Here is a 12,569-nt window from a genome sequence, read left to right on the forward strand (position 1 = left end):
TCAAGTTAAGATGAGGTCATATTGGATTAAGGTGGACTCTAAACCCAACACAACTGATGTACCTACATAAAGAGGAATATTTGGCCTCAAAGCTACAGGCACACAGGGGAAAAGGCCATGTGAAGAGGGGTCAGAGACTGGGGTGAGGCATCAGCATGCCAAGGAATTCCAAGGATGGCCAGCAACCACCAGAGGCTGAGAAGAGACAAGGAAGGACTCTCCCCTCCAGCCTTCAGAGACAAGATGCCCGTCAACACCTTAATGTCCCACTGCTAATCTCTGGAACTGTGAGAGAATATATTTCTGCTGTTTTAAGCCACCTAGCTTGTTGCACTTCTTTATGACAGCCCTAGGAAACTATACCTTCCTTCTTTTGTAGGTTTGATTTTGGAAACATATGTTTAATTATAAAACAAAAATTTAAAAATCCCTAAATATCAAAATAAAAATGAAAGAAAGGAATTAACTATTTATCAACTTGGAAGAAGATTTCAAGTAACATTAAGATACTGTAATTTTACTGTATATCCCTAGTGGACTATATCCTAAGGTTAAAATGGAGCCCAGGAACTTGGCAGGACTGGTTTCACAAGTTACAGGTCACAAAGACCCTGCTGATAACACAGGATGCGGTGAAGAAGCCAGCCAAAACCTGCCAAAACCAAGATGGCAACTAAAGTGATTTCTGGTCATCCTTAGTGCTCATTATAATACATTAGCATACTAAAGGAAACTCCCACCAGCAGCATGACAGTTTACATATGCCATAGCAACCTCTGGAAGTTACCCTGTATGGTCTGAAAGAGGGAGGAATCCTCAGTTCCAGGAATTCCCCTCCCTGTTCCCAAAATACTCATGAATAATCCACCTCTTGTTTATCATATGATGAAGAGATAACCTTAAAAACAATCAACCAGCAGCCCTCACAGCTGCTCTGCCTGTGGAGCAGCCACCCTTTCATCCCTTTACTTTCTTAAGGTAAACTTCTTTTCACTTTACTCTGTTGGAGCATTCTTGAATTCCTTCCTGCCCAAAGCCAAGAACCCACATGGCCTCCTGGGCTGAGCCCCAATTCTGGGGGTTGCCCTGTGAAGAAGCGAACTGCAAGAAAATCTTAAACTCTTTTCAGTAATCACATTTTTAATTATACCTTTGGTACTTTTATTCCTAACAAATCAATAATTTGAAACCAAGATTCTCAAACTAAAAGATTAATATCAAATAAGTAAAAAAAAATCTAATCTTGTTTCCATTTAAAAAATTAATATAAATTCATGATTTCTTTTCTCTTTAAAAAAATTTTTGTAGCCTAATTCTCTTCAGTAAAAAGGCCAAAATACAATGGCCAATCTAGTAGCAATGAGCATCTGCCACTGACAGAAATGGTGGCTCATGGGAAAACTGGCTGATGCCAGGTCTGAGAAGAAAATGTCTTGTAGTACCTGAAAGTAAGGAAGCCATGGATACTAGTGAGGTCACATCAAGGGCAAACAAGGAGAGCTGCAAGGGCTTTAATAGCTAAAGACAGGAAAGTTTACAAAATATGTTAAAATCCATCATATCATAATGATACTCCAAAAGAAGGTACTCCATTGATCACTACTAGAAGATGCTAGGGAAGCTACTCATTTTTCTGAATATTAGTAAATAAAAAGAAAGAATAAAGCATCTTTCTGACTTTCCTCTATGATATACCTCAGGGAGAAATCAAAAGGTATTGTGTGAAAGTTCTTAATAGAAGAATTATAGCTAATAAGTGCAAAGAAAAAAATGATAGATTAGGTACCACAGTTTGAGAAGGATAATGAAATAACTAACCTAGGCTGATGGCTAGGCTATAGGAGGAATCAGCATCACAATACCTAAAGCCAGTGATCACTCTTAACATCACAGAAAGTGAGACAACCAGATATGATGTGCCTCTTGGCCTGATACAATAGAAGTATACAGCACCACCTAGGAAGTATTCCTGCCAGAAAATAAGTCAAATCTTCTGATCCATAAATGTTCAGGAAACTTGGGATACAGGAACATAATTGAAGAATGAGGATTATTGTGGGTAATTCTATAGGACAAATCAGCTGGATTTCTCAACAAACAAATAGCAGGAAAACAAAACAAAAACAGGTAAAGAAATTCACATATTAAAAGACTTAAGATACACATCAACTAAATGCAATGTGTAGGCACTGTTTGGATCCTATTCAAACACATCAACTGTTTTTTTGTTTTTTTTTTTTTAAAGTGCCAAACAGGGCATTTAAATACTGATTTCTATTTGATTATATTAAGGATATTGTTAAATGTTTTCCAGTATGTCTTGTGCCATGGTTTTGTGCCATAGTTAAAACAAAGTCTTATCTTTAGAGACACTTATGAAAGTATGAAAGCATGAAATGATATAATGTCTGGGATTCCCTTTAAAAAGAGATAGTTGGCCGGGCACGGTGGCTCACGCCTGTAATCCCAGCACTTTGGGAGGCCGAGGCGGGTGGATCATGAGGTCAGGAGATCGAGACCATCCTGGCTAACAAGGTGAAACCCCGTCTCTACTAAAAAAATACAAAAAATTAGCCGGGCGCGGTGGCGGGCGCCTGTAGTCCCAGCTACTGGGGAGGCTGAGGCAGGAGAATGGCGTGAACCCGGGAAGCGGAGCTTGCAGTGAGCCGAGATTGTGCCACTGCAGTCCGCAGTCCGGCCTGGGCGACAGAGCGAGACTCCGTCTCAAAAAAAAAAAAAAAAAAAAATTAGCCGGGCATGGTGGCAGGCACCTGTAGTCCCAGCTACTCAGGAGGCTGAGGCAGGAGAATGGCGTGAACCTGGGAGGTGCAGCTTGCAGTGAGCCGAGATGGAGCCACTGCACTCCAGCCTGGGCGACAGAGCGAGACTCCGTCTCGAAAAAAAAATTAATAAATAAAAATAAAAAATAAAAAAGACATAGTGAGTGGGGGTGTAGATGAAGGAAAACTGGCTGTGGCTGTCAGCTGTAGAAGGTGGAGCATCTACTCTTTCTACTTTGGAACATCTTGAAATTTTCCATAATAAAAAATATTAAATGTTTTTAAATTCCTAAAGTACTATGATGAAATCCCAAATAAAAACTAACCATTTCAGTGCGAAAAGCCATCTCCCTTTCCAATGTTGAGAGGTGAGAAAAATGACGGTCATTTTCAAAGAGGTGTGTTATATGGCTCCTGGAAAAACAAAACAAAGCAATAGTGTTAAAACTTACACTCTAAGTATTATTTTTTAAAGTAAGCTAAAAGCAAAAATAAAAGTATCAGTTAACTTGCAGATAATTTTGTAATAACACTCAAATACAATAGTATCTATATTTTTTTCACTCAGTATGTATTGCATTTATACTAAAATTTCCCTCTCTAAAAAATCAAATTAGATTTTAAAATTAAAATGAACCAGAATATTTTAAGTGAAGTACAATAAAAGTATAGATTAAACTGTAAATGTCATTGGGTTACCATTTTAGAAACATCTAATGAAATTCATATTTCTATCTAGAAGATTAAATAAATTAATCTCTCTCTCACCATGAACATATTAATGTTGAGTGGAGTCTCAAATATAGCCTCTTTAATAATGAATCTCTTTTTTATTAAACAATTATATTATTCTGACCCTGATTTATCAATTAAACTAGTTTTTCAGACTATTGTGTTACATGTAATATATATTCATACTGATCATGCTGAAATTATTCCTTTAAATGTATGGGAAATAGCTTTAGCAAGTTATAAACGTCTGCATAAAATACCATAGGAGAAAAAAACAATCTTACCAGTGCAACACTGCTGCAAAAACAGCTGTAAGAAAAAAGAAATTTAAATTAGAATTTTAGCATAAACATGTTCATCTTACAGAAAAGCCATTTCAAAGATAAAGCATGTCAAATATTGAAATGTGTAAAAAAGAATACTGGGTCTTCAAAAAAGTCCCAGGGCTACGTTTAAAATTGTGATTGACTAGCTCATAAGGGAATTAAGCATACAGCCACCATTTTCACTCACTCACTCATTCAACAAAATATATGAAGGCCTAATATCCGCTAATAGACAGAAACCATTAGATGGAAACTATTGCTAATAGAACTGAGAGAGGAATGGAATCAACAGGTAAGGATAACTTAGAATAAAGAAATATGGTGGCTGAGGGGTACAGGATTGGGGGTGGAAGAAAAAAGGGAACTACCACTTCTGATATACTGCTGCAATGCCTGAAATTTTATGACAAATATTAACCCGTGTCTTTAAACAAATTTAAAATGAAATGAGTAAAGGAGAAGAAAAGGTAAGAGAGAGAAAACAAGCTAGTAATAAAATCAGTCTCATATGAAAATCAATACCTTGCTATCTGTCCAAGCAGAAAGAACATACTAAGATGAACCTGGAAGACACCATTCAATTTTCTTATCTCACAAGATACAGCTGATGGCAGGCTTCTGATTAAATAACTCTTAACTAAGGAATCAACCTATGAAAATACTCCTAGAAAGGAAACCCAGGCCAGATACAGTGGCACATGCCTGTAGTATCCATTACTGGGGAAGCAGAGGCAGCATCATCTCGAGCCCAGGAATTCAAGGCTGCAGCAGTGTGCTATGACTATGACTGTTAACAGCCACTGCTCTCTAGCCTGGGCAACATACTGAGACTCTGTTTCTCAAAAAAACAAAAGAAAGAGAAAAAGAAGAAGTAGGAGGAAGAAGAAGGAAAAAGAAAGAAGAAGAAGGAAGAAGAGAAGGAGAAGGAAGAAGAAAGAAGGAAGAAGAGGAGGAGAAGGAAGAGGAAAGAAGGAAGAAGAGAGGAGGAAGGAAGAATAAGGAGGAAGAGAAGGAAAGAAAAATGAAAACCAAATAGATCAGATCTTATTGTTTTATTCTTAAAGTCAGTTATATTTTTTCATTTAAAAATCCATTTTGCCTTGGAAATACGAATGGTTACTTCTAGATAATTGAAGTTACAAATATCTAACTTAGTTTGTCATTTGACTTTTTTTAATAAGATATATTGATCTTTTGAAATTTTAAATTTTTTTCTTATTAACAAATCTACCATTTGCTTCCTTTTAGTTTCTGTCTTTAAAAACTTTATCTGCCAGGCTCATGACTATAATCCCAGCTACTCGGCTGGAGGAAGTAGGGGGATCAGCTGAGGACAGGAGTTTAAATCTAGGCTGGGTAACACAGCAAGATCAGGTCTTTACAAAGCACGAGCCTATTGTCCCAGCTACTCAGGAAGGCTGAGCTGGGAGGATCGCTTGAGTCCAAGAGGTTGAGGTTGTAGTCAGCTATGATCACACCACTGTACTCTAGCCTGGATGACACAACAAGACCCTGTCTCTAAAGAAAAAAAATAATAATAATCCTAACATAATAAAATTTGGTCTTTATTTTCACAATGATTCAACTATCATTTTCTGAATAAATTATTTTTCTCCCATTGAATGTAAATGCAACTTTTATCATACTGAAGACTTGCCATGCTTCTACTTTGGTAATCACTCTGAGGTTATAATTGGATTTTCACTTATAAAATTAATTTGGGAAGAATTTACACGTTTACAATATAGAGCCTTCATATCCATAAATGTGGTGTGGGTATATACATATGTTGTATATATAGGTATGTGTATATATACATAACATATATCTTCAATTGTTCAAACTGTTTTTCGATAGTCCTTGAGAAAAATTCTACAGGTATTGTTAACATATGCATTTCTTATGAAGTTTCTCCTGGGAGTTAAACATTTTTTTCCTGCTAATATTCATAAAATGTTTTTTATTATACATTATTGGATATTGTTAAGGCATTTATTTTTGAAGAGTATTTATTTTGCAATGTATTTATTTTTGGTTCATTTACTAAACTGTTAATTCATATAGTTTTTTAAACTTATCTTCAGTTCTCCATTTTATTGCATTTTATTTTATTTTTGAGGAGTCTTGCTCTGTCACCCAGGCTGGAGTGCAGTGGCATGATCTTGGCTCACTGCAACCTCCGCCTCCTGGTTTCAAGCGATTCTCCTGTCTCAGCCTCCCGAGTAGCTGGGATTACAGGTAAATGCCACCATGCCTGGCTAATTTTTGTATTTTCAGGAGAGATAAGGTTTGGTCATGTTGGCCAGGCTTGTCTCAAACTTCTGACCTCAGGTGATCTGCCCGCCTCAGCCTCCCAAAGTGCTGGGATTACAGGCATGAGCCACCACACCCGGCCCTAATTCTTCATTTTAAACAGTATTATTTACATATAATAATTTTGTTCCTGTTTTATAATTTTACTATTAGTTTCTTATTCCTGACAAAAACAATAAACTTCTAGAATATTACTAAACAATTCTGGTAAATGGGGGCACTCTTGGCGTTGGTGGTATAGTGGTGAGCATAGCTGCCTTCCAAAGGGGGCATTCTTGATTTCTGCTGACTTTAACAGCAATGCATTTCCTATTATGCCATTAAGTTGGCCTTTGACCTTCACAATTCTGGAGTGCTAACTAGGATTTATCAAGGTCATCATCCCTCTATGTCCTTAAAATACCTTGCTTTCTCAGAATAAGGATGGGAGGTGCAAGAGGCCTCTGGTGCCTTTTAGACAATACACAAGGACAACACTTGGAGTTCCTGACACTCTTTCACAGTCTCCAGGGTCCATTCATCATCTGCCCAATGTTTTGAATTCCTTTTTTTCATTTCAACTCAGTAACAATGATGAGAGCAATGGAGCTAACACTTGAATGCTTATTACACACCCAACACTTTATAAGTACTTTACTTGTACTAGCCAGATAAATCCTCACAACTACCTTATGTCATATGTACAAATATTTCCACAGTATACAGACTAGAAGTTGAGGCACAGAGTAGTTGAGTAACTTGCATAAGAATGCACACCAAGTAAACCCAGTAAGGGAGGCTGGACTCAGGAATTCTGCCCTGCACTGCATGGCTGTTGTAGAAAGAGGATGGAACAGATGAAACAAAAGCCTAGGCCTACTTACCCTAAAGTATTCCTACTCTCCCCTCCTTCTTACTTTTTTAATCTTAAATATGAAAGAAAAAAATGCTGCAATTCATCTGTTGATATAGGAAGTATATTTTATAGAGGCTATTAATTTTATATAAAATTTGGAGATATATTTTACTTAAAAATTGAAATACATTACACATATGTATGTCACTTGAACATGAAAGTCCCAGTAAAGCAAATACTGAGTTGTGAGCATATAATTTAAGAATAAAAACGGAAAATGACAAAAACTTCTGAAGGCACCCCTAAAGAGCTTTTCTAGCCTTCTTGCCTACAAAAAAATAATATTTTAAATGATTTTCTCTAAGTTTATTCCAGTGTTTATCGACGTTTTTGAGAGTGTAACAAAATTGATAATCCATTTATTTCCACTTAAACACATATGCCATTTTTTTTACATTCTAAGGAACCAAGATAAATATGGCATTTTAAAAAATCAGAACATAAAATATATTTTTAAAAAATCCAAACCTATTCTATAAGAAAAAGGTGTTCAAGGAAAGGTTTGCTGTGTAACCTAATTCAAAAAATCACAATCCTTATGGCTAAGAATTTTGTAAGGTTCATAATTTTGCTGGAAGCACAGAAATTACCTACAACCTAAAGCTAAATTAGACTCTCTAGGATGCTGCATTAACTCTTTCTGATTAAAGAAAATTTTCACCAGACTATATGACACATTATATCAATTTTCAGTCTTACGGGATTTGAGAGGACTCTACTGAAAATAATTCATCTCCTGTTACTAGACTCTTGTTTAAACAAAACAGATTGTAACTCCCTGAGGGTAGAAACAACATTTACCAAACTTTACTACAGTACTTATTAGCACAAAGCTGAGCACGCTCAAGTGTTTGCTGAATTAATGCATAAAGCTTGATATAATTAAGGGGAGGAATGAAATAATCCAAAATCATGTCCTAATAACCTCAATTGAATATATTTTGATACACACACACGCACACACACACACATCATCCTTTTTCACCAATGGAGCCCCCATTTACTTTGTGCAGATTAGACACCTGGTCTACAGGCAGCCAGCTCCCTGCCCTCTCGCAGTGGGGCACGGGTCCCAGGTCCCGGTCCCGGACGCCTTGGTGCTGGCGGCTGGGCGGACACTCCCCTCGGAGAGATTTCCCTGTCCCCAGCCGGCCTGCTCCCTGTGGCCATTTCCTTCCTGCCCCAGCTCCCTGGAAGCCATCGTTCTTCCCAGCATATCTAGTGTCCTGGGCAAGTGGGGAGGGGAGTTCTCCCACCCCAGGCCCCCATGTCTGGCCGGTAGAGAGCAGGGCAGGTGGAAAGGACGAAGACACTGAACAAACCATCCTCCAAGTCCCCAAACCTCATTCCATCTCCCACCAGCACCCGGGCCCCCACCTGCTCTTACCCCTTCCCCTCCCAGTTACCCCAAGCCAGGGCCCTTCCTAGACGCCGTCCTGAGGGTCACTGGGAAGTACGAATGCTGGGATCTGTAATTTTAAGATTCCCCAGTTGAGTCTAAGGCAAGCTAAAGTTTGAGACTCACTGTCCTTTCTCTTTCTCCTCCCCAAGGTGCGAGGGCGCCATGAGGCCAGGGTGGGCTTCTCCATGTGCCTCTCTGTAACCTGCAGGCTGCTCTCCCACAACTGCAGCCACCAAGGTGTGTTTCTGACCACAAATCAACGTTCCCATCCAGAAGTTAAAAAAATTACTTTTTTTCCTCTTACACATGCACTTCATAAATAGTATTTGCCTTAAAATTCATAAAGCACCTTCACAAACTTGATTTTCACAATAATCTTGTGAGTATTTATCAGCATTTTACAAATGAAAGAATGGGCTTCTAAGAGGCTATTCCCTCCAAGGCACATAGCTGGTAAGTGGCTAGAGATGGTTGAACCCAGGTGTCCTAATTCCCAGCCTGAGCTCCTTCCACTGTGACAGAGCTGCCTCCTTCTCTATGCTGGGCATTTAATGACCTTGTCTTGTAACAATATTTATATGAAGAAATATATTCTTTTTCTTTTCTTTTCTTTTTTTTTTTTTTTTTTTTGAGACAGGGTCTTGCTCTGTCACCCAGGCTGGAGTACAGTGGCTTGATCTCGGCTCACTGCAAACTCCGCCTCCCGGGTTCATGCCATTCTCCTGCCTCAGCCTCCTGAGTAGCTGGGACTGCAGGCACCTGCCACCACACCCGGCTAATTTTTTGTATTTTTTAGTAGAGACGGGGTTTCACCGTGCTAACCAGGATGGTATCGATCTCCTGGCCTTGTGATCCCCCCGCCTCAGCCTCCCAAAGTGCCGGGATAACAGGCATGAGCCACCGCACCCGGCCGAAGAAATGTATTCTAAGTCCAAAATGATACACATTATCATGTTGAGTAAGTGAAAACTTAAAAATTCAACCTACTCCTAAATTGAGGTTCATCTGTACCTAAAGCACGCTAAAGACTTTTGGCATTACTAACCCTCAAGTGACAAAATGACATAAAAAGAAGTTAAGGACACTCCTTAAATCTATCTGGATAAAGTTTTCAAATCAAGCTTGACAAGTTCTATTTCCAATCCCTTCCTAACATTACTAGCCATTTCTCACTGTTACAAGGGTTCGTTTTGAGTTTTAAAGTTTCTTTCCGGAAGCTGAAGTCATCAGTATTGGTTTCCCTGCCCCACAAGTACAATCCATCCTAGGGGGTGAAGTCAATTTCGAAACATACACCTCTAAGCATCACATCCCCTTGCTTGAAAAGCCCCATGACTTCCCATTACACACAACATGTAGCCCACACTGGCCTATTTCCAGTCAATCCCACCACACACCCTTCATTCTAGATGCACTGGGCAACAATCCCCTAAAACCCCAAGTGCTTTAATGATTCTGTGCCTTTCTTCCTGCCTTAAAAATCTGTAATTTGTCCTTCAAAATCAAAAGACTTCAAATGTGGCATTTTGTATTGCTTATCCAGCTATCCTAGCTATAATACCACGATTACAGCACCTAAATAGCTAGTTACACACATACCAGTTTCCTCTGCTAGAATGCAATGGCCTCAAGGCTGAGTCTGTGTATAATTCATCTTTACACTACCTAGTATCATGCCTGGCACTTCGCTGAGTTAAACGGTTACATTACTATTAACTACAACCATATAAGATAAATTATAGAATGCACTCAATTAAACAAAAATCTTAACACATAAAGATACTTTCTCAACAATCCAAATTATTTGAAGCATTCCCATTACATGAAGGTAAATATCTATTTTTATATATACAATACAATTAAAGTACCTGGAATCAAAGCCCAGTTTCTGTATAGCGAACAAATGAAAAGACATTCTTTAGGATCCAGCTTGAGAAAGAGAAAGCAGTCACAGATCCCACAAGCTCAGCTTCTTCCTCCTCCTAGTGCCTAGATTTTTGTGTGGATTGCTTTGTGTAGCTTCAAAGCCAACAAGTATCTAAATGCCTATTAGATGCACAACACGTTTTCCTAGGAACCAAAAACATTAAAGAAACATAGCCAATATCTTTGCCCTTAAAGATAAAATCTTTGAGAGATAAGATTTAGGTACATAAAATAATAAGAGAACACATTAAGCACTCAAGCAGATGGCATAAAGTCTAAGAACTATAAGAAACCTGAGAAGGCAGATCAGTAATGACCTTAGGGCACGGTTTACTAAGATGGTTAAGAAGAGGTGGGTGGGGGAGGTGGTGGGAGTAGCAGCCTCAAGACATGGATATAACTTAGGTGTGGATTTATGGCAAACAGCCAGAAAAGACAAATACAATACAGCCAGATATTGGACTTGGATAAAAGAATTCCCACCACTTATACTGATGATATAGAATATGAATGATAATAATGTCTAATATTTACTGAAGGTCCACTCATTATATACACAGTACATCAGGCTTTCAGCACTCCAAGAACAGCAAGAGCCAGATTTTTCCAGCTAGTAGGCCTGGAAGTGCCAAGAATAAGAAAGCCAGAGTCCCTGGGGCCAGTAACCTCCTGGTTTTGAAGATACCATCTATTTACCCCACTGTGCCACACAAATATTACCATTTTCTTTGCATGCCATTATGTGGAAGGTTGAGAAGCACTGACATTGGTCAACAGAGAAACCAAGCAAGTTTCAAAGACAACATCATAATGCAGCAATAGAGAGCCACAGTGGTCCAAACTCTGGTATTGCATTAGAATCATCAGTGGCACTAAAGATAAGAGGTGTCTGAGTATAAATCCAGGGCCCCTAAATCTGAACTCCAGGATTTTTTTTTTATATATTCATAAGTGCTTCTGACATACAGTCAAGGTTGATTATCATTGGTACAGAGAATGACTGGGGCACAATCTAGGTAGTTCTTCACAAAATGTAATGTGAGAATCAGCTTCTTGCTACTCCCAGTGTCCTGGAAACCAGTAGTAATTGTATCACCTGGGAGTAGCTGGAAATGCAGAGTCTCAGGTCCCATTCCAGACCTCCTGATTCCCAATCCACATTTTAACAAGATGCCTGAGGTGATTCATAGACACTTTAAAGAGCAGTGTCTCAACACTGACAGCACACTGGAATCACCTGGGAGCTTTCCACATTACTATGTCTGGCATGGGGGTTGGTGATTGTGCAACCAAGGTAAAGAAAACCCACCTAGGAGGAGCTTGTTAAGCCTGCATTTCTGGGCCCCCACTCTCAGAGATCCTGATTCAATAGATCTCACTTGGGGCTTGGACATCTACATTTTTAACACATCCTTGGGTGACTTTATACAGTCCAAACTTTGAGAAGCAGTGTCATTATGTCAGAAGGTCCAATGAGAAGAATATAGTAACAATCCAGGAGTAAGATGACCTGGAGACTAGTGATGAAATGGGCTTTATAAGGAAAAGGGAAATATATTAGTAAATTCAAAAGATACACTGAGGGAGAGGTTGGCAAAACGTGATAGCTGAAAATAATGATTAAGAAAGGGAAAGAACTCAAATTCTTTTACTTCCCTCGTAAGAAAGTCATTCTTAAGAAGAACTATTCCTTAGGTTTTAGATGACTTTCAAGTTATTCAGCCTCTCAGAGTCTCATTTTCACCAAGTATAAAAGTGAGGGGTTGGCCAGGCATGGTGGCTCATGCCTGTAATCCCAGCACTTTGGGAGGCCGAGGCAGGTGGATACCTGAGGTCAGGAGTTCAAGACAGCCTGGCCAACATGATGAAACCCCATCTCTACTAAAAATACAAAAAATTTAGCTGGGTGTGGTGGCAAGCACCTGTAATCCGAGCTGCTCAATCCTCAGGAAGCTGAGGCAGAAGAAACGCTTGAATCCAGGAGGTGGAGGTTACAGTGAGCCGAGATTGCGCCATTGCACTCCAGCCTGGGCAACAAGAGCAAAACTCCGTCTCAAAGAAAAAAAAGAAAAAAAAAAGAGGGTTTTCTCTTTGGTTGTCTCCATCCCTAGCACTTAACGACCTTGAGTAGCTACCTACAGCTGTTATCACTAACACGCTGGGCTTTGTACTCTCCCAGGTGGACTGCACAGCTA

The 12,569-nt window shown here is 39.1% G+C and overlaps 1 protein-coding gene across 3 annotated transcripts in view; it reads right to left on the reverse strand.

Moving 5' to 3' along the window:
* DPY19L1 (dpy-19 like C-mannosyltransferase 1) overlaps positions 1-12,569 on the reverse strand; it is a 109,161-nt gene that overhangs the window by 85,895 nt on the left and 10,697 nt on the right. For all 3 annotated transcript variants that reach the window (NM_015283.2, XM_011515246.4, NM_001366673.1), the window contains exons 2-3: positions 3,797-3,821; positions 3,107-3,194 (exon numbers count right to left, since the gene is read on the reverse strand). In NM_015283.2, coding sequence (NP_056098.1) covers positions 3,107-3,194; positions 3,797-3,821 — 113 coding nt within the window. The remainder of the gene's footprint in view (positions 1-3,106; positions 3,195-3,796; positions 3,822-12,569) is intronic.

This window comes from Homo sapiens, chromosome 7, assembly GCF_000001405.40.
Source record: "Homo sapiens chromosome 7, GRCh38.p14 Primary Assembly".
In the NCBI taxonomy this organism is placed as follows: domain Eukaryota; kingdom Metazoa; phylum Chordata; class Mammalia; order Primates; family Hominidae; genus Homo; species Homo sapiens.